At 40.7% G+C, this 22741-nt stretch overlaps 1 protein-coding gene and 1 long non-coding RNA gene across 15 annotated transcripts in view, besides 1 other annotated feature; one reads left to right on the top strand and one right to left on the bottom strand.

Annotated features, from left to right (window-relative positions):
- Positions 1-22741, top strand: part of SH3D19 (SH3 domain containing 19) — a 205325-nt gene that overhangs the window by 180209 nt on the left and 2375 nt on the right. For 9 of the 14 annotated variants that reach the window (NM_001378131.1, NM_001378128.1, NM_001378122.1 and 6 more), the window contains 8 exons: positions 1347-1487; positions 5550-5622; positions 7535-7665; positions 10265-10323; positions 12161-12363; positions 13014-13066; positions 17041-17227; positions 17682-17779. In NM_001378131.1, the coding sequence (NP_001365060.1) occupies positions 1347-1487; positions 5550-5622; positions 7535-7665; positions 10265-10323; positions 12161-12363; positions 13014-13066; positions 17041-17227; positions 17682-17779 (945 nt within the window). Of the gene's footprint in view, positions 1-1108; positions 1178-1346; positions 1488-5549; positions 5623-7534; positions 7666-10264; positions 10324-12160; positions 12364-13013; positions 13067-17040; positions 17228-17681; positions 17780-22741 lie in introns of all 14 variants that reach the window. The other 5 variants (NM_001378121.1, NM_001378126.1, NM_001378123.1 and 2 more) reach the window with 1 other exon arrangement.
- SH3D19-AS1 (SH3D19 antisense RNA 1) lies at positions 4303-21187 on the bottom strand. Its single transcript, XR_001741442.2, has 2 exons — positions 21148-21187; positions 4303-5841 (listed from the first exon to the last, which is right to left on the bottom strand). It is a non-coding gene; the product is annotated as an SH3D19 antisense RNA 1 (long non-coding RNA).
- Positions 11806-12100: an enhancer, noted in NCBI's record as "tiled region #3738; HepG2 Activating DNase matched - State 14:Gen5'". NCBI's record gives its function as "activates a minimal TATA promoter and a strong SV40 promoter by Sharpr-MPRA in HepG2 cells {active_cell/tissue: HepG2}" and the evidence as "EXISTENCE:reporter gene assay evidence [ECO:0000049][PMID:27701403]".

Genomic DNA, 22741 nt, shown 5'->3' with positions numbered 1-22741 from the left:
AGTTGGGGTGGGGCAAGAACAAATCACAATGGTGGAATGTCATCTTTTGTGGTTCTTCAGCTGCTTCAGGCCATCCAGATGTATACGTGCAGGTCACAGTGGCTTAGCTTGGGCTCAGAGGCCTGACAGTTCTTAGCATAGTCGTATAATGTCAATAAAGCATTTTTTAAAACTCAATACATTCAAAATGATGGTATATATAGAGCTGTATGTCTCATTACAAAATAATTCTTCAAATCTTTCATTTATTGCATGCCTACAGTACCATTAAATTGCTAGCCAGGAATCTGGGTACATTGGAAGCCCTAGGAATCTGACAAAGATGTTGGGAAATGGCACCACCAAGCCAGCTGTACAGGGCCACATCCTTGCACTGTGGATCTTTGCTCCTGGGTGATCCAAGGCCCAGGCAGCCTTCTTCCCATGTTGGATGTGAGCTTGTGTGATTGCATTTCCTGGGTATGCCTTTTATATAGTACAGACCGTCTGATGTGCACTCATCAGCTAAAATTTTCCAAAGCAGGGAACAGAGCCTCCTGGACAAGGTCCAGTACAGATGTAAAAACCATTCTAAGATCAGACAGAGCTGAGTGGACCAGGAAGTGGCTGGGATCAGGCCATGAAATGGATTTAAGTAGACACTTGGTATCAGAGAGACTCTAGGAGAAGAGCTTCAAGGTCTATGGAAACAGGCAGGCAGTACACGGAGGGCTCCAATCACTGATCAGCCTTCAGAGGCCACCATTGTAAGAACCCTGAATTAAAGAACTGGCTGTGAGGTCAAGTGCTGGGTGTTTCTCCTTCAAACCCCCAGGGGACTTGGCGGATCTTGTCCTGTAGAACAGAACTTCCTGGTTATGGTCATTAAGGGAATGTTAGGCCATGTTTAGCTCTTGTGGTTCTATGGGCCTAACTCCAACTCCCAAGAGCCTCTTAACATCCATGAGAAATGGCAGGCTCCATTGATCTAGAGCGCGATGAAGCCAGGTGAGTTTAGCTGCTGGAGAAGGTGCACTTTAGGCACACACATGCCAAATTCCTAAATGATCAGCAACTTAAGAGGAGGTTATTTGATTGTGAATAAGCCTTTTATTGGTTTACGTTTAAGCTGTCTGTGCCTCATGGAATTGCCAATGAAGATATTGTCTCTCAAAACCCCGGAGAACTCTCTTGTAAGGTAAAGTAGAGCTCTTTCCTTACTGGTTAATGTAAAAAAAAAATTACTGGCCTCTGTTACTACCATTACACATTATTAAATGCTTTAGGCTCCAAAGATTAAAATGTGAAAAAGTAATAATGTTTTATTAAATAATAATTGCTTCAGAGAGTGGTATTGTACCTTGCAGCGTGGGGATGTACTTGTGATGCTGAAGCAGACGGAAAATAATTACTTGGAGTGCCAAAAGGGAGAAGACACTGGCAGAGTTCACCTGTCTCAAATGAAGATTATCACTCCACTTGATGAACATCTTAGAAGCAGACCAAACGTAAGGAATTAATATTGTTACAGCCCTCATATCACACATAGCAGCACATTTCATGGAACTATTAATTATATCTCATCTTCAGGTTTTTATTAGCACATTTATTTTAACCAGAGTAAAAATTACAGTAGCATTTATTCTACTTTTAGAATAAATTACTACTAAGAGACTTGCCACTGCCATACTAATCACTTCGATACAGAGTGACTACCCTGTGTTTTGTTTTCTTCACTGCACTCCAGCCTGGGCCATAGAGCGAGATTATGTCTTGGAAAAAAAAAACAAATAAAAAAATAAAGTAAATATGAAAAATAATAGTGATCAAGTAAAATACTTGGTTTGCCGTTTATCCTAGTTTTCATAATCTTTTCCCATTTTTTCTTCTTAGAAGGCAGTTTATCTTTTGAAGTTTGCTAAGAAACTAAAAAATTGTATTTGGAGAGCAGAGGAGATATGTGTTAAGGTAGCTTCTGCTGGCATATGAAAATCCTTACTTTAGCTCCCACGGGGCAAGTTCTCCACTGACTCATTTTCTCTGTTTTGGTACGGCATTATCCATCTGTCATAGCTGTCCTTCCTCTTTCAGAACACACTTATGGCAACAGTGGAAGTTATACTGCCAAAAAGCTTTCCTTTGTGAAAAATAGAAGCTAAAAAAAATTAGAATTTTTTTTTTTTTTTTTGAGATAAGGTCTCACTCTGTTGCCCAGGCTGAAGTGCAGTGGTATGATCACTACAGCCTTGACCTTCCCGGCTCAAGCAATCCTCCCACCTCAGCCTCCTGAGTAGCTGGGACTACAGGCGTGCACCACCATGCCTGGCAATTTTTAAAATTTTTTGTAGAGACAGGGTCTCACTATGTTGCCAGGGCTGGTCTGAAACTCCTGGGCTAAGCCATCTGCCTGCATGGGCCTCCCAAAGTGTTCAGATTACAGGTATGGGTCACCATGCCCAGCCAAAAGTTAGTCTTTTATAACAGTGCAAAGTTCTTTCCACCTTAAATACCACCTTCTCATCTTTTACTATAGACTTGCAGAGAGTTGGCCTCTGATGGGCAGCTATTGGTGATAATGAAATGAATCCTCCTTTATGCTTCTGGGTTCATGGCTATTGTTACATTTTTTTTTTAAATAAAACTTACCTATTTGAAAGCCTAGTTTTAAGGTAAATATCTCTACGAATATGTTGTACTTTGCCCTAACTTGGCAAACAGAAAATATTGAATGAACATGACCAGTTGTGGTTGAATCAGACAGATCATGGGAAAAGTGGAAGGTTGTTGCCTGGTACATGGTTGAGACCCCAGACCTGGGTTTCAGGGAAGTGGAATTTGGTTCCCCTTCCACCTTCTTCGGTGGTTATTTAACTTCTCTAAACTTTATTTTTTTAATGTGTGAGATAACTGCCCACAGAGTTGTCTTCAGAGTTGACAGATTATATGATGTTATTTGTGTAAAAGTCCAGAATAGATAAATCCATAGAGACAGAAAGTAGACTACTGGTTGCCTGGGGCTGAGGGGAGGGTAACTGGGGTGTGACACCTAATTAGTAGGAGGTTTCTTTGGGGAGTGATAAAAGTGTTCTGCACTTGGGTTATGGTGATGGTTGGATAATTCTATGAATATGCTACAGCCATGTTCACTTTCAGTAGGTAAATTTTATTGTATGTGGGTTATATCTCAAAGATGTTTAACAAATTCATTGAGCTAATGCATATAAGGTATTTAACACAGTGACTAGCACATGGTGAATGAGCAGTAAATATTAGCTATTCTTAATATTACAAAACCATTTGCATTAGCAGTTATAGTCATATTAGAAAGACCTTTGCATTATGTTATATTTACCTACCAGATACCTACCCCAGTGGTATGGTCTGAATTGTATGGACCACTTGTTGGCAACCCTGTCTAGCCTGTTCCTCTTGCCCTTCACCTGCTAGGCTGGGTTGATGAGCAGCATTGCCAGTGATATCCATACACTGAAGGCAGAGAAGGGAAAATGTGTGACTGGGAGGCACAAATTATCCCCTCCCTCCAAGGACTGGTTTATGTTTAGGCCTCTGGTCCATTTGGAGATTTCATGTTTGTGTTTGGTGTGTGGTAGGTCTCTGACATCATTTTTTCCAAATGGATAGGCATCTAGCCTAATAACACTTATTGAATAGTAATTCCTTTTTCTCCACAGATGTAAATCAGAAAAAAATGAAAATCACACATGCACATGTATAACACATTATATAAATAATAATTAATTTGTTTAACTTTTTTTGGAGAGAGTCACTCAGTCATCCAAGTCAGAGTATAGTGGCACAATCATAGCTCACTGCAGCCTCGAGTTCCTGGGCTCAAGAGATCCTCACACCTCTGCATCCCTAATAGCTGGGACCACAGGGGTGTATCACCATGCCAGGCTAATTTTTTATTTTTTTGTAGATATGGCATTTCTTATGTTGTCCATGCTGAATAATTATGAAAAGCCACTCCAGGCTGGGCACGGTGGCTCACTCCTGTAATCCCAGCACTTTGGGAGGCCAAGATGGGTGGATCACCTGAGCCCAGGAATTTGAGACCAGCCTGGGCAACGTGGCGAGACCCAATCTCTACAAAAAATACAAAAATTAGCCAGGCATGGTAGTGCTTGTCTGTAGTCCCAGCTACTTTGGGGACTGAAGTGGGAGGATAACTTAACCCCTGGAGGTCAAGGCTGCAGTGAGCTGTGATTGTGCCACTACACCACAGCCTAGGTGACAGAGCAAGACCCTGTGTCAAAGAAAAAAAAGCCATGTCAGACCTAAAATATCTCAGAATTCATGAAATTTCCATATTGTTCATTTATTTAGAGAAAAGCATTAAGCAGTCCATGAAAAAATGTTAGGGTCTTCTTAGTAAGCTAATATAGTAAGCTACATTAGCCATTAGAGTCTTAAGTTATATTTCAGTTTACCTAACTTGAGAGAATGAAAGTTTTGTTTCTGCAGGTGCATTTTGGTTGAAAGAGCAGCTGAGATTTAGAAAAGATCTCAGCAAAGGTGCTGCAGGGTTGAAATGGAGAAAGTGGACCATCATTCACAGTGCGCTGCAATCAGCCTGGTGCATCATGGCCAGGGGAAGGGCAGAGGTATAGATGTGTCAGGACGTCTCTAAGGGGACAAGAGTTATTAGAGGAGGTGAAGAGACAAGAAAGGGCACAAAAATCTGCCTTTATTTATTTCACAGGCTTGCCAGTGTTGAAGAGTGTTAAGTTATAACTCCAAATAATATCCTTCAGTGGGATTTGATGATGATGAGGATAAGCCTGTCTCTTGATATAAAGAAACTAAGAATAACAATTGCTAGTCAATAAGAAGAGGTCGCTCTTCAGCTTTGCCTTATCCTCTGGCCAATCTCGGCATTTGGCTAGATGGATAGAGAATGTTAGATTCTTTTTGCTAATTTATTTAGAACTACTGTTGAATAAACCATTCAGATTAAATACAAAATGCAGACCAGGCATGGGAGGTAGCATTGCTTTCAAATTAGAAAAAGCACTTAGTTAAGTGGTAATAAATGAAATGGATTTTACTTTTTGTGAATTATACTTCTGTTGAAAGTCATTAGCTCCTTTCATTACAAAAGGCAAGAGCATAAATCATAGAACTTTCTTCTTTTCCCATCCTAATAAAGACACAACTTTTAAGACTCTGTCTTGATCACAGTTTTAAGGAAAAAGCTATCCTTGAAAGGGAAAGAGGTCAAAAACCACTACTTTGGGGTAGAATAGATACTGTTTCAAAATAAATAAACAGTTCCCTTTTGTTTTACTCTCTCAGCTTAAAAAAGCAAAAAGAAAACATACTGGGGGATATTTTAATTGAGATTTTCATCCTCCCTTAGCAAGGACACATTCTTCTTCAACTTGATAATAATTCCCTTGTTTGGCTCAACTGTGTGGTTTGCATCATGTACTCATAATGTAATTGTGTCAAGAGGACTCTAATGAGAAAAAAAAAATTGGTCTCAGAGTGAATAATAAATCCACCATCTATCCTGCACACTTCATTCACAGCCCTTTTCTCCCCCTAAGGATCCAAGCCACGCTCAGAAGCCTGTTGACAGTGGTGCTCCTCATGCTGTCGTTCTTCATGATTTCCCAGCAGGTAAGGATGTAAATAATGCAGTGGGAGAACCACAGGATCCAGGAGTAAGTCTTTTTCCCTGCCGGGGGTTAGCCTCTCAAGGACATCCTTCTTCATTTTTCTGTGCCTATAGAGTCCGAGACTGGAGAGGTCATCTTATCCAGGACTCCACTTCAAGAAGGGTTGATTGTACCAGCCATTCCAGAAAGCTTAGTTGTATACCCTTGCCTTTGAAGCTCCCTGAGAAAGAGAAAGAGAGAGAGAGAGACTTTCCCTTACAAATGAACATTGCAAATTGCCTACCAGTCACAAACTTTTTAACTCTTTCAAAATAGTGGGTACTAGGCCGGGCGCAGTGGCTCACGCCTGTAATCCCAGCACTTTGGGAGGCCGAGGCAGGCGGATCACGAGGTCAGGAGATTGAGACCATCCTGGCTAACATGGTGAAACCCCGTCTCTACTAAAAATACAAAAAATTAGCCGGGCGTAGTGGCGGGCGCCTGTAGTCCAGCTATTCGGGAGGCTGAGGCAGGAGAATGGCGTGAACCCGCGAGGCTGAGGTTGCAGTGAGCTGAGATCGCGCCACTGCACTCCGGCCCGAGGGACAGAGCGAGACTCCGTCTCAAAAAAGAAAAAAAAAAATAGTGGGTACTAATTAACAATTGTAATATGGCTGGGCACAGTGGCTTACACCTGTAATCCCAGCACTTTGTGAGGCCGAGGCGGATGGATCACCTGAGGTCAGGAGTCCAGACCAGTCTGACCAACATGTTGAAACCCCGTCTCTATAAATACAAAAAAGTAGCCGGGCATGGTGACGCATGCCTGTAATCCCAGCTACTTGGGAGGCTGAGTCAGGAGAATCACTTGAACCTGGGAGGCAGAGGTTGCAATGAGCTAAGATTGTGCCGTTGCACCCTGGGCAACAAGAGCAAAACCCCGTCTCAAAAAACAACAACAACAAAAAAATTGTAATAAAGTTAATCCTAACTTAATAACTGAAGTTCTTTTGTCTTCAAAGTTGTCTCAGCTGCTTACTTACCTATGAGATCAAAGTAATTTGTGTGTGTGTGTGTGTGTGTGTGTGTGTGTGTGTGTGTGTGTGTGTGAGACAAGATCTTGCTCTGTCGCCTAGGCTTGAGTGCAGTGGTGCAATCACTATAACCTTGAACTCCTGGACTCAAGTGATCCTCCTCCCTCAGCTTCCCCAGTAGCTAGGACTACAGGGGTGCCACTACACCTGGCTAATTTTTTTTTTTCCTAGGGACATGGTCTCGCTATGTTGCCCAGGCTGGTCTTGAACTCCTGGCCTCAAGTGATCCTCCCACCTTAGCTTCTTAAAGTGCTGAGATAACAGGCATGAGCCACCCATGCCCACGCACAATATAAGTACTTTTGTAATAATTTTTAAAATGCCCTTCATATCCAAGGCTACAAATAAACTCCTGATTTACTTACAATCTCTTTTTATCCACTTGATAGGCTGATTTTTGTTTTGGTATGGGTAAACTTATTTGCTAAAGAGTTGTAGTACTCCCTTAGTTAATATTTGAAATTAAAATGATTTTTAAGCATAATTGAGAATAATAATATTATACCATGTCTATAAACTTTTTTCATTGTTCAGTGTGTATTCAGCACGGCTTTATATTGGCACAGTAGGAAACATTTGCTAACACAATAGTGTTTTTTTCAACCATTTCCCATCAATCAAAGCATGGTAAATGTGTCTAATTTGGTCTTTAAAAAGGGAGCTCATAACAATGTCCAAAAAAAGAATAGCATTTTTTAAGTCAATTTGATTAGTATAATCTGTTCTCAGAATCAGTGGAACATAACTGCCTCAGTGGACACAACTAAATGCTACTTTGTGCTTTTATCAAATCTGCAACCAGGATGATTCATCATACATAACTATAATTTTATATTACAGAGCAAGTTGATGATTTGAACCTCACTTCTGGAGAAATTGTTTATCTTCTGGAGAAGATAGATACAGATTGGTACAGAGGGAACTGTAGAAACCAGATTGGCATATTTCCTGCCAACTATGTCAAAGTGATTGTAAGTGGGTTGTGTTTGTTTTAATTTGGTCATATACTCAGTGGGTTCTATGTGACTTGTAGGTTGGAAAAAATAACTAGAAACCCAGATTCTAGTTCTCTTTCATTGATTCATTTGGCATTTGGAAAATTCAAAAATAAAGATTTGGTCAACTAGGTGATGGTTAATTATTATATTATGGAGTGTTAGAACTTAATGCCTAAATGCTGTCTGAAATCCTAAAGTGAAAGACCACCACAGGTCAACTGGTGAATCAGCTGTTCTTGGAGAGTTGTTAAGCACTTAAGGATATATGGTAATTCTTTGAGACATTTAGTGAACATGAATTCAGTGATACTAGCTTATCCTGTAGAGATGTTCTCTGAGGTTATGGTACCACTTCTTTTCTTTGGAGTACATTTTGGTTTGAGTTTCTTTCATCTTTTCCATTCTTATTTATCTCCATCTTTAAAAAAAAATTTATTTGGGAATACAGAAGTATTTATATTGGAGATAGTGGTTCATTAATGGTTGTACCCACAAAATAATTTCTAATCTGATTAGGAAAATTATATTAAAGCACCAGAATTTTTATACCCTCACGGCCTAACTTGTGAAAGCATTCCTATGTGTGAGAGCTGTGTGTAAGCCCAGATGGCTGTGTGAAACATGGGGATAAAATCAGACTGCCCTCACACATTTGTATCAATTGGAATAGGATGACTCGGTCCCTGATATAACTTACTGATACTGTGAAATATCAATAAATTTAGCTTAACAGCATTAACAGCTTATTTGGAAGGAAAAAGTAAATAAATTCCATTACATCAGAATATTAGAAAACAAGACTAACAGAAAATCTGAATTCTTCAAATAGAAATGAATTTGAGTCTCTTGGATTATGAAGGGTAGGCATTAAACATTGTCCAGTGTATCTATGCCTTGATTCTTTGGAGAAATTCAACCACATTCTGTAAATTAATATTAAGAATAATGTTTGTTTTAGCACTCTTCCTCATTTTTCTTCTGCCCAATGTAGCAGTACTTTAAAAAGCACAATTACCACACTGAAATCAATCACACAGAATCTGCCACATTATTGGTATAAGTGTTATTTCTAAGCCCACAAGTTTAAAAAATTGTTTTAAAACTTCAAAACTTTAAAATTCAAGAAGGCACTGATTTAATATAAACCTCGAGCTTTAAGTAGTTTTAAATTGCATGCATTATAGCCAAATATTTTATTGCAACCCAGCCCTCCTCTACTGAGCCTTGTAAATGAGATATTATATTAAGTGCTTGGCTGGGCACAGTGGCTCATGCCTGTAATCCCAACACTTTGGGAGGCTGAGGCAGTAGGTAGGATCACTTGAGCTCAGGAGTTCAAGACCAGCCTGGGCAACATAGTGAGACCCTGTCCCCACAAAAAATTGAAAAATTAACTTGGCATGGTGTTACGCGTGTGTAGTCCCAGCTACTTGGGAGGCTGAAGTGGGAGGATGGTGTGAGCATGGGAGGGCAAGGCTGCAGTGAGCCATGATCACGCCACTGCACTCCAGCCTGGGCAACAGAGTGAGACCCTGTCTCAAAAAATAAATAAATAAAATAAAACAAAGTGTTGCCACTTAGTTTGCTAAATACAGATTCCTTTCTTCCCTATTCATGTTGAAGGGGGAAAATATTTCAGTTATAAATGTGAAGAGAATCCACAAGTTGTTTTTGTTTTGTTTTGTTTTGTTTTGTTTTGTTTTGTTTTGTTTTGTTTTTGAGACAGTCTCGCTGTTGTCACCCGGGCCGGACTAGTCTCGAACTCCTGATCCTCCCAGAGTGCTGGAATTACAGGCGTGAGCCACTGTGCTCAGCCCGAGAATCCAAAGTTTTATTGAAATGTTTTATCTTGGGGTCAGAGAAGCATTGCAGGATTCTACCAACACTTGGAGTAGGTGTGGCAGGGCTAATGCCTGATTTCTATGTTAAGTCCTTCTCAGCTGCAGTTTTCAACCTGGAAAATATGGTATAGAGCTGGCAGGGTGCGGCAGCTCACACCTATAATACCAGCACTTTGGGAGGCTAAGGCAGGCAGATTGCTTGAGTCCAAGAGTTCAAGACCAGCCCAGGCAACAATGGTGAAACCCTGTCTCTACTAAAAATACAAAAATTTGCCGGGTGTGGTGGTGCACACCGGTAGTCCCAGCTACTTGTGGGGCTAAAGCAAGAGGATCACTTGAGGCTGGGAGGTCAAGGCTGCAGTGAGTTCTGATTGTGCCGCTGCACTCCAGCCTGGGTGACAGAGTAAGATCCTGTCTCAAAAAAAAAAAAAAAAAAAAAAAATGAGATAGAGAAAATTCAGTCAGAATTAGAGTGATATTAATGTGGTTATTCCAGTAAATAAGAGAATTGATTGGCTACTCAAGGAAGGCTACTTCACAAGTTACACTTTTTTTTTAATCCAAATTCAGGATTTGTTTTACCATTTAGCACCTGTAGTTCCTCTTAATCAGATTAACACCTAGCTAAACCGATCGATTTCAGTCATGTACTTTCTAATTACTTAACCTTAAATTTATCTTATGAAAATCTGAAAAAAATATAATTGTTGCCTTGATTTTATCTTTGCTAGATTGATATCCCAGAAGGAGGAAATGGGAAAAGAGAATGTGTTTCATCTCATTGTGTTAAGTAAGTTTTATTTGTGTTCTTTTACACAAAATACAAAGGAGATAACCATCTATATCATGAAGAATTATCAAGCTTAAAACACTCCAAGGCCAGGCATGGTGGCTCAGACCTGTATCCCAGTACTTTGGGAGGCTGAGGTGGGAGGATTGCTTGATGCCAGGAGTTCAAGACTAACCTGGGCCACATAGCAAGAACCCATCTCTATTATTTATTTATTCTTTATTTTAAAAGAAAACACTTCATATGGTGATAATTCAGATTCTCATCGTGTCTTTTTAATTACAAAGAAAACTTGTTTAAAAGGTGACAATGGGTTAAAATTCTGATGAAAATACATCATGAACCTGCTGATAGAAGCTTACCTAAGCAACTCTCCAACATCAGTGCAGGACATAAAGAAAGCAGCAAAGACAGTCTATGCCAGTGCTTCCTGCAGCCTGGTCTCAGCATGAGCAGAGATAGTTTCATCATTTACTGCATTTTATTTTGGCCATCTGGTGTTCACCCAGTTTTTAGAAGGTTCAAGTATTTTTGTCATGAGAAATAATTAAATCCTATAGAAATATGAATCCTACAATAACTGCTAGACATTTTGTATGTTTTTGTTTTTAAGAGGAACTAGAAGAAAGTGAAGGAAGAGTTAAGTTGAAGGGGTTTTCCTTTATCTCTGAGGACGTTTCCCTGAATTTATATACCCTTTTATGTGTCATTGTAACTCCTTTGTGATTTAAAGCACTGCCACAATGCAACTTTATATTCTAGTTAAATGAGCAAATTAATAGAATTCATTACCTGCTGAAGACTGTAAACCTGTCTATGAATAGGTCAGACATAAGCAGATGCTCCCAGAGGACTTTAGAAAACAAATGCAAAGGTTATCACAAATAAGAAAACTTCTGATCCACAATAGTTGAATTCTATTTCAGATTCAGTTTTTCTCTATTTTTAAGCAGCATATACTGTGTCTCAGCAGGTTGAATTCGAAGTGGGCTTTTACAGTCATTGACCCATTGATCTGACTTAAATCAGAATTCTATTAAAGCTAGAATCAACCTTTTCTTTTTAGGCAATTGCTTCTCCTTAGCCTGTTGCTATTGAAACTTCCTTTCTAAACCCTCAAATCTAGGGATTAGTATTAAAGCACACCTTCTAGAGACACAATTTTATCTCTGCTTTTATCTTATTTTCAGTCAAAATTGCAGATCATGTAAGGATTGTTCCAAATGTCAGAAATGAAGCCCTTTTAAAGGAGATTAAAAAAATCATTTTTAAAGGCAACAGGGTTAGTTCCAAGACTGTGTGTTATGATATGCCAAGTTTCTGTTTTCTTTAAACCTCCTAGTTTTTAAGGCCAGCTCACTGATTAATTGAGCATCTATTGAACATCAACTTTGCCCAGCTGATGCCCATTGCATTCTGCCCTGATTAGTAGTCAGAAAATTTGATTAATTGCCCTGAGATTCTCAGGGTTAGCACTCCTCAACTCAGTGCATTTATGATTGGAAGGGTTCAGACTGGACCACGGATTGCTGTGGCCCAAGGATACAAACATACGGAGACTGGGGAGTAAGAAGATCAAAAGACACAGCAGGGTAAACTAACCACCCAGCTGCGTGCACTCCGCGACCTTGAGCTTCAGCCTTTCTGAGTGAATAGGTTCATATCTGTTACTTAAAAGTGTAACTTACTCTTTTTCATGGAATAATTTCAAATTAGCCTAGTATACCTTATTCCATGGTAAACCCAGAATAAATATTTATTGAAAGACTGAATGAAGGTTTTTAAGCATTTTAAAAGCACTCTCTAGTCTAATCCACAAAATGTGTTCTTCATTCAGAGGCTCAAGATGTGTTGCTCGGTTTGAATATATTGGAGAGCAGAAGGATGAGTTGAGTTTCTCAGAGGGAGAAATTATTATTCTTAAAGAGTATGTGAATGAGGAATGGGCCAGAGGAGAAGTTCGAGGCAGAACTGGGATTTTCCCCCTGAACTTTGTGGAGCCTGTTGAGGATTATCCCACCTCTGGTGCAAATGTTTTAAGTGAGTATAGAGAATTTTTTTTATTATGTTATGTCCTAATTCAAATAAACCAAATAATATCATTATACTTAAGCTGTATAATAATCCATATTGCCATATTTTTACGGTAGAAGGAAAACTGATTTTAAAATGGGAATTTGTGTGGGATAGACATTATTTGTGGGCATCTCTCAAAGAGCTGGTTTTGGTATTTTAGGTAATTAGCAATAGCTTCATATAAGAAATGGCAAAGAGGCTGGGTATGATGGCTCAGACCTGTAATTCCAACACTTTGAGAGGCCACGGTGGGCGGATTGCCTGAGACCAGGAGTTCAAGGCTGCAGTGAGCTATGATTGTACCACTGCACTCCAGCCTGGGCAACAGAGCCAGACTCTGTATCTAATAAATAAATAGCAAAGACTTTTAAACAGAAATGAACTATAGACTGTTACTAATGTATATAGACTATAAATAGTTGTGTTTACAATTAACTAAACAAGCTCAGTGAAGTTAGTACAGGTTAACGCAACATAGACAATACATGAAGAGACCGGAGTGGAATCCCAGAGTCTTCACTCCCACCTCCCACCTCAACCATTTGTTTTTAATACTATGTGGCCTTCACATCTAATGTTCTGACTTCTTGTGTTTGTTTGTTTTTTTAATGTAGGCACAAAGGTACCACTGAAAACCAAAAAAGAAGATTCTGGCTCAAACTCTCAGGTAGGCTGCTTGAACAGATGACTATAGTGACAGCCAGGTTCAGACTCTGGGAGGAATATTAAAATCATAATTTTCAAGAGAATATAGTATGAATTAATTTTTCAATTCATACAACAAATGTTTGTAATAAATTCTTAGATGGTTAATATATTTTATATAGAGAGCTCATACAAAAACATGTAAACCCTGATAGAAAATGAAAACAGAGACTGGGCAGAGTGGCTCATGCCTGTAATCCCAACACTTTGGGAAGCCAAGGCAGGTGGATTACCTGAGGTTAGGAGTTCGAGACCAGCCTGGCCAACATGGTGAAACCCTGTCTCTACTAAAAATACAAAAATTAACCAGGCATGGTGGCGTGCACCTGTAGTCCCAGCTACTTGGAAGGCTGAAGCAGGAAAATAGCTTGAACCTGGCGGTGGAGGTTGCAGTGAGCCAAGATAGCACCACTGCATTCCAGCCTGGGTGGCAGTGCGAGACTCTATCTCAAAAAAGAAAGAAAGAAAATGATAAAAGAGACATGATTAGAGAATTCATAAAAGAGGCTGTGCGCGGTGGCTCATGCCTGTAATCCCAGCACTTTGGGAAGCCGAGGCGGGCGGATCATGAGGTCAGGGGATCGAGACCACCCTGGCTAACACGGTGAAACCCCGTCTCTACTAAAAATACAAAAAAAATCAGCCGGGTGTGGTGACCAGCGCGCGTATTCCCAGCTACTCAGGAGGCTGAGGCAGGGGAATGGCGTGAACCCGGGGGGCAGAGTTTGCAGTGAGCCAAGATTGCGCCACTGCACTCCCGCCTGGGAGACAGAGCAAGACTCTGCCTCAAAAAAAAAGAAAAAAAGAAAAAAAGAATTCATAAAAGAGATACCATAAGTGGCTAATATTGAAAAAATATTTAACCTTTCTAATAATCAAGAAAATATATAATAAAGCAGCAATAAAATACCATTTAACCTATTCAGTTAACAAAGATTCAGTGCAGCTCAGCACTAAACAAGCAATTATAAGCATGTGAGTGTTAAAAAAAAAAGAGAGAAAGTACACATTCTTATTTGTCACCCTAAGAAAAGGATAAAAAATGAGATAGGGTTTTAGTCACAAAGATGAGCATAGTGCTAATATAATAAGAAAAAATTGGAAACAACCTAAATATGACCATTATTGGGAGAATATTCTAAAGCTATGAAAAACTAGATTTATCAAATAAAATAATGTTTTTAAATGTCATGAGAGGAAACATAGGGAAAGGGGATATAAAATTGAATATATAGCATAAAAAGACTGGAAGGAAATTATTCAAGTTACTAGTATTAAATTGCATCTAGGTAGTGAGATTATATATACGGGTAGGTTTTTTTCCCCCACTTCTTTTTTTTTTTTCTTTTTTTTGAGACGGAGTCTTACTCCGTCGCCCAGGCTGGAGTGCAGTGGCGCAGTCTTGGCTCACTGCAACCTCTGCTGCCGGCTTCAAGTGATTCTCCTGACTCAACCTCCTGAGTAAGCTGGGTTTACAGGTGCCTGCCACTGTGCTTCGCTAATTTTTGTAGTTTTAGCAGAAACGGGGTTTTACCGTCTTGGCCAGGCTGGTCTTGAACTCCTGACCTCGTGATCCACCCACCTCGGCCTCCCTAAGTGCTGGGATTACTGGCATGAGCCACTGCGCCTGGCCTTCTCCATTTCTTTATACGTTTCTCAACTTTCCAAATATTTAGGAACATTTGTTTCATTTGTATAATGAGAAAGAGAAAAATAGTGGGTTAAAATTTTTACACTGTTCAGCATGACCCCAGAAATGCTTAAAGGTACTAGGAATGTGGTGCCTTCTGTTGTTTTTAGTTTTTTGTTGTTTTTGGTTTTATTTTGGTTTTTTTGTTTTGTTTTGTTTTGTTTTTTTGAGACAGGATCTCACTCTGATGCCCAGGCTAAGTGCAGTGTCGAGGTCTCAGCTCACTGCAACCTCTGCTTCCCAGGCTCAAGCAATCCACCTCAGCCTCCTAAGTAGCTGGGATGACAGGCACACACCACCACTCCCAGCTAATTTTTGTATTTTTTGTAGACAGGGTCTCATTTTGTTGCCCAGGCTGGTCTCAAAATCCTGGGCTCAAGCGCTCCACCTGCCTCAGCCTCCCAAGGTACTAGGATTACAGGGGTGATCCACCACATCCGGCCTTCCATTGTTTTTTGTGACAAATTTAGAAGAGTTAAGCCTGATGGGATCATTGTGTTTGTGAAAATGTCACTTGTAATTGGCCTGTGTGTCCCTTAATTCTTTATCCCTACCCACTGATAAAGTGAAACAGGAAGGAAACTGACTACAGTTCTCCAAAAGGAAATGTTCACATGGTTGTTGCCTGCATTTTTGGAGAATGATAAGTTCCATCCTTTAGGGTTGGTTACTCAAGTGCAGGAGCAAGAGGGGGTTAGTGTTGTTTGCTTGCTTTTTGTTTTTGTTTTATAAGCCATCAGTTATTGAGCACTTAAGATGTGCCAGGCACTGGGCTAAATGTTAGACATGCATTGTCTCATTTAATCCTCTTAGTAACCCCAAGATGAAGCTGAGCCTCAGAGAAGAGAAGCGTCTTGCCCAGTGTCACGAAGTTAAGAAGTGGCAGAACTGGGTCTGGAAACCTTGCCTGTGTAGCTCCAAAGCCTTTGTCCCGGCCAGGCGCTGAGGCTCACTCCTGTAATCCCAGCACCTTGGGAGGCCAAGGCAGGTGGATCGCTTCAGGCCAGGAGTTCGAGACCAGCCTGGCCAACATGGTGAAACCCCGTCTCTACTAAAAATACAAAAATTAGCTGGGTGTGGTGGTGTGCACCTGTAGTCCTAGCTAATCGGGAGGCTGAGGCAGGAGAATTGCTTGAACCCGGGAGGCAGAGGTTGCATTGAGCCAAGATTGCATCATTGCCCTTCAGCCTGGGCAACAGAGCGAGACTCCATCTCGAAAGAAAAAAGCCTTTTCATTATCCTCTACTGCCTTCTTGAGCCTCTTGAACATAGGGTTCCCATCCCAAATTGGCAGAGCTGCCTCTTCACAGAGCAAAACCTTTCTCTAATGTGCCTGGGATAAAAGTGTTCTTACACTAGCCCACCACATCTGGGTGTTATCCTGCCAATCTTAGAGTTAACTACAGCTCATAAAATTAAAAGTGTGAATTGATGAAGTTCTGTGCTATGGACTCTAATTGTCTCTGAATCAAGTAAAGACCTGGGAATTCATAGACCAACCCATTCTGATCCTTCCTAATTTAAATAAAGAAGAGCTTCACTGATAATTACATACTTTATCAGAATTTTTTCATAGTGTCAAATACTATGCATAAATATTTTATGCTTTTACCTAATTCTTTAATATAACAATATAATAGGTCATATTAAGAAAAAAGTTTTTTGGCTGAGTGAGGTGGATCATGCCTGTAATCCCAGAAGTTTGGGAGGGTGGGAGGATCACTTGAGCCAAGAGTTCAAGACCAGCCTGGGCAACATAGTGAGACTTCATTTCTGCAAAAATAAAATAAAATTAAATAGCCGAGTGTGGTGGCTGCACCTGTAGTCCCAGCTACTCGGGAGGCTGAGGAGGGAGGATTGCCTGAGCCCAGGAAGTCAAGGCTGCAGTGAGCTATGATTCTGCCACTGTACTCCATCCTGGGTTACTAAGTAAGAACTTGGCTCAGAAAAGAAAATAAAGAAAGTAAAAAAGTGTTTGCTTAAGCTTTGTATATCCCTTAAAAGCAGAAAAGCCACAAATTCTATCACACTTGTCATTTAGAGTTATAATTTAAGAAAAAATTATTGGAAACTTTTACTTCTGAAACTTGATAGCAACATAAAGTATTAGATAATTTAAAGAAGCCTTCAGGCTTTGAAATCTTAAGACCCCTTAGTTTTTTTTTCCCCACTACTTTTTAAGCTTTGTAGAACTCAATTTCAAATAAAATCTTACACTTCTGACCACACCTCTAATTTGATAACAGGTTAACAGTCTTCCGGCAGAATGGTGTGAAGCTCTTCACAGTTTTACAGCAGAGACCAGTGATGACTTATCATTCAAGAGGGGAGACCGGATCCAGATTCTGGAACGTCTGGATTCTGACTGGTGCAGGGGCAGACTGCAGGACAGGGAGGGGATCTTCCCAGCAGTGTTTGTGAGGCCCTGCCCAGGTATGACAACCGCAAGACATGAATGCGACTCCTCACGGGGAGCCTGAAACCTTCAAAACTATATACATTCCTTTCCCCTCTGGCCATGCTCAGTTTGTCTGTCTATATTTGAAAGAGCTGATACATGAAGTTATGCAAACTTCATTCATATGCTTTGTTAGAGTTATAGAAAAAAAAGATAATGTCTTCACTAAATAATGGCTAATTCCATCTAATAAATATAGTTTACGTAATTTTTCCCTGCTAAAAGAACATTGTTCATCTTTTTGAAAGTTAAATAAGTTCAAAATTAATTGAACATGTTTTTAAAAATGTTTTTCTTTGCCTAATATCACTACCTCTGAAGAGAAGATACTGTGTTTTTAGAGCGATAAGCGTTTTTTTTTAAAAAATGTTAGATTTGTGTTTTAGTCCACTGTGTTTCTATATATTTAAATTTTTTATGTCTTCACAGCTGAGGCAAAAAGTATGTTGGCCATAGTACCGAAGGGGAGGAAGGCCAAAGCCTTATATGATTTCCGAGGGGAGAATGAAGATGAACTTTCCTTCAAGGTCAGAATGTGTATCTCTTCATAACTGCATTAAGCACTATAATTTTTTAAATGTTTTCCATTGAAGGATGGAACATTTGGGTGGAATATTAATCATTACTCAAGAATGAAGAGATCTCAGGCCCTGATTCTAGGGGAAGACATTAGAGAAAGTGAACAGTGCAAATAGGCCTGTTAATTTACAGTATCAACCAGGCATTAATGTACTTAGAGAAAACCTTGGCTTTACACCCCCATACATCCCCAAAGTAATCCCTGTTCCTTGGTCTTAGGTCATCAGATCTCAGTAATATTAGGGTTTTTATTAGTAGCCCTGGTAACAGATGACTGTCTACATGGCCCTGCAAGCCTGCCATTGATGTGTCTTTGAAATTGATGGAGAATCAGATAGCACCTGCTACAATTTGCACTAGTAGCATAGTAGCCTCATAAGACACTAAATTCCTTTGGGAGGCCGAGGTGGGGGGATCACGAGGTCAGGAGATCGAGACCATCCTGGCTAACACGGTGAAACCCCGTCTCTACTAAAAAATACAAAAAAATTAGCTGGGCATGGTGGCAGGCGCCTGTAATCCCAGCTACTGAGGAGGCTGAGGCAGGAGAATGGCATGAACCCGGGAGGTGGAGCTTGCAGTGAGCCGAGATTGCACCACTGCACTCTTGTCCACAAAGGCAATGACCAGAGGTTTGGGGAAATAGTCCCAAAAGGTTGAGCTAGTTTGCAAAGGTTTTTTTTTTTTTTTTTTTCACCGAAGAAATGCCTAATTTCTTCTTAAAGTAAAAGTAGATATTTTCTTTTCTTTTTTTTTTTTTTCTTTTTTGAGACAGAGTCTCGCTCTGTCACCCAGGCTGGAGTGCAGTGGGGCGATCTCGGCTCACTGCAAGCTCCACCTCCCGGTTCACGCCATTCTCCTGCCTCAGCCTCCCGAGTAGCTGGGACTACAGGTGCCCGCCACCATGCCCAGCTAATTTTTTTGTATTTTTTTTAGTAGAGACGAGGTTTCACCATGTTAGTGAAGATGGTCTTGATCTCCTGACCTGGTGATCCGCCCACCTCAGCCTCCAAAAGTGCTGGGATTACAGGCGTGAGCCACCGCGCCCGGCCAAAAGTAGATATTTTCATGATTCTATTTCCCTAATCCACAACTGGACCATAGTCAGAGGAAAGCACTTTGGGAACAGTGCTAGAAGAAGGAGGGTGGTTTTAGTAGTCACTGCTGTCAAAATAGCCTGTGTCAGGCAGTGGTAAATTCTCTGTCATTGAAGATATTCAGTCAGAGGAAAGGATGCCATAGAAAGAATTAACATATCAAGGAATGATTGGACAAGGTGTGGTTTAAAACAGTGGACAACCAAACAGGGTTTTCACTTGTCTGCAACAAGATGAGAAAAAGGCCGAGCAACAGTGGCTCACACCTCTAATCCCAACACTTTTGGGAAGTCAAGGCAGGAGGATCGCTTGAGGCCAGGAGTTTAAAACCAGCCTGGTCAACATGGCAAGACCCCATCTCAACAAAGAAAAAGAGGAAAACAAGGCAATACCTGAATCAGGTATGTGCAGCCTTTGTCGGGGTAAGGGGGGATGCCTTGACTGAAATATGTCACCATAAAGTTGCTAACTTCCTATTTTGTGATGGGGTTTTACTTTATTCTGAATAATAAAATGTTATTTCATCTTTTTGTATTAAATGTCATTTCTGTTATAATATATTGTTAGCAAATAATAGATATTTCTTATTCTTCCTTCCTTTCTTTTTTTTTTTTTTTTTTTTTGTTTTTGAGATGGAGTCTCGCTCTGTCGCCCAGGCTGGATTGCAGTGGCATGATCTCGGTCTGCCTCCTGGGTTCAAGCAATTCTTCTGCCTCAGCCTCCCAAGTAGCTGGGACTACAGGCACACACCACCACACCTGACTAATTTTTGTATTTTTAGCAGAGACGGGGTTTCACCATACTGGCCAGGCTGGAATCAAACTCCTGACCTCGTGATCTGCCTGCCTCAGCCTCCAAAAGTGCTGGGGTTACAGGTGTGAGCCACCATGCCCGGCCTCTCTCTCTTTCTTTCTTTCCTTTCTTTCCCTTCTTTCCTTTCCTTCCTTTCTTTCTTTCTTTCTTTTTTTTTTTTTTTGGTTTTGTTTTGTTTTGTTTTGTTTCTGAGACAGGGTCTCACTCTGTTGCCCAGGCTGAGGTGCAGTGACACAATCTCAGTTCACTGTGCAGCCTCAGCTTCCTGGGCTCAAGCGATTCTCCACCCCTCAGCTCCCTGAGTAGCTGGGACTACAGGTGTGAGCCACCAATGCCTGGCTAATTTTTGGTATTCTTTGTAGAGACTGGGTCTCACCCAGGCTGGTCTCAAACTCATGAGCTCAAGGCGATCCATCCGCCCCAACCTCCCAAAGAGCTGGGTTACAGGCATAAGTCACCACACCCAGCCATAAATGATAGGTATTTCTTATGCTGTAAGCTATGCAAAATTAAAAACTCGTAACCTTCTATCAGTTCCCTTTTTTTCCTTTAACATCTTGGTCTTTAAAACAAAATTTAAAAAAGAAAGAAAGAAAGAAAGAAAACTGTTGCCTTAGTCCTTGAGAGTCAGTGGCTCAAAATGTATCCCGTTTATCTTTACATAAACTTACTGCAAGTGAAGAATCTGAATTCAAACTTCTTGGATGTTATTTTGGTCTTCATTTAAACTATGTGAGTATAAATAACAGAATGCACAGTATCCTCCAGAAAACAGGTTATCTTCATTTCATTTTACAAATGGTTGTCCATAAGATAGTTCTAGAATTGTTAGAATTGTTGTTGTTATTGTTGTTGTTAAGGGATTCTGCACTGCTTTCAGTTTTATTAAATATCCACAGAATGTTAATAGATAAAACTAATTTTTTTTTTTTTAGAGAAGGAGTCTTGTTCTGCTGCCCAGGCTGGAGTGCAGTCAGCGGCGCGATCTCGGCTCACTGCAACCTCCGCCTCCTGGATTCCAGCAATTCTCCCGCCTCAGCCTCCTGAGTAGCTGGGACTACAGGTGCATGCCACCATGCCCAGCTAATTTTTTGTATTTTAGTAGAGACAGGGTTTCACTGTGTTGCCGGGCTGGTCTTGAACTCCTGAGCTCAGAAAATCCACCTGCCTTGGCCTCCCAAAGTGTTAGGATTACAGGAGTGAGCCACTGCACCCGGCCAAAACTAATTTTTGAAAATAGCCCTAGCCTGGCTGGGTGCAGTGGCTCACGGCTGTAATCCCAGCACTTTGGGAGGCCAAGGTGAGTGGATCACCTGAGGTCGGGAGTTCAAGACCAGCCTGACCAACATGGAGAAACCCTGTCTCTGCTAAAAAATACAAAATTAGCCAGGTGTGGTGGTGCATACCTGTAGTCCCAGCTACTCAGGAGGCTGAGGCAGGAGAATCTCTTGAACCTGGGAGGCGGAGGTTGCAGTGAGCCGAGATCTTGCCATTGCACTCCAGCCGGGGCAACAAGAGCAAAACTCCATCTAAAAAAAAAAAATAGTCCTAGCCCTCAGGAAACTGACATGGTATGTAGGTTTGGACCAGACCTAAATAAAATAGCTTCAGTTAACTATTAAATTATAATTTAGGAACCAGAAGGAACTTATTTATAACAAAAACTTTGAATTGCCAGAATTTTTACAGATTTTAGCAGAGCAGAGTAAATTAATAACATCTGATTGCATGTTTCCTTTTCATTTTCCATAAAGAAAAGCCTTAAATCAAGCCATTTTTTTTTCCAGAGGGTAATGTACTAGGGCTACAAATAAATTCATTTAGCCCAATAAAGGTAGTCTTAACAGTAGCCAGAGTCATCTGGGACCATTGTAGCATCTTAAACACAGATTCTAAGAAATGTTTAGAAACTATAAAGAACAAAATAGTTATGTCTTCATCTGCTGAAGGAATTCTAATTTGCACATGAATAAGACACACAGCCCCTTTGACTAACCTGATGAAGATAAAACAGTGTCCTGAGTCAAGGTGAAGCTCTTTAAGATGGGAAAAAAATGCAAATTTGATATTGAGGCCATGGCAGGAGAATCACTTGAACCTGGGAGGCAGAGGTTGCAGTGAGCCGAGATCGTGCCACTGCACTCCAGCCTGGGCCACAGAGCGAGACTTTGTCTCAAAAACAAAAGATACTGGGGCCATAGGAGGAATGTGATAAACCAGATGGTAGAGGAGAAATGCCATTATGTGCAAGAATAAATGTAGAGTGCAAAATGCTCTGGGTGTTGATAAAAGGCAATTACAGTAAAAGCCTTTCTAAGTAAAAAGGTCCATTGTAAAATCTGGCGGCCACATAGCCTAGTGGTTAGGAATATAAGCCCAGGAATTGCACTAGATTTGAATCCTGGTTCTACCACTAACTAGACATGCGACACTGGCAAGTTATGTAGTCTATCTGAGTTTTGGTTTCTTTTTCACTAAAATAAGGAAATCTATAAAAATATATCTCAGCCAGGGGCAGTGGCTCACGCCTGTAACCCCAACACTTTGTGAGGCCAAGGTGGGCGGATCACAAGGTCAGGAGTTTGAGACCAGCCTGGCCAACATGGTGAAACCCTGTCTCTACTAAAAATACAAAAAATAGCTGGACGTGGTGGCAGGCACCTGTAACCCCAGCTGCTCGGGAGGCTAAGGCAGGAGAATTGTTTGAACCCGGGAGGCAGAGGTTGCAGTGAGCCGAGATTGCACCATTGCACTCCAGCCTGGGTGACAGAGCGAGACTCCGTCTCAAAAAAAAAAAAAAAAAAAAAAGTCTCTAAAATGAGGATAACATAGTACTCATCTCTAGGACTTTGGTGGTGTTTACATAAGAGTTAGTTCCTGTGAAGTACACAGAATAAGACAAGGCATACAGGAAGCACATGACTCACTTTCTCATCTCCAAATCTTTGCCTATATGACACCTTCAGTGAGGCCCTCCCTTGATGGCCCTAATGAGTTGGC

The sequence above is a fragment of the Homo sapiens genome, chromosome 4, assembly GCF_000001405.40.
Source record: "Homo sapiens chromosome 4, GRCh38.p14 Primary Assembly".
Classification (NCBI taxonomy): Eukaryota; Metazoa; Chordata; class Mammalia; order Primates; family Hominidae; genus Homo; species Homo sapiens.
This window is presented reverse-complemented; position numbering and strand designations above follow the sequence as displayed.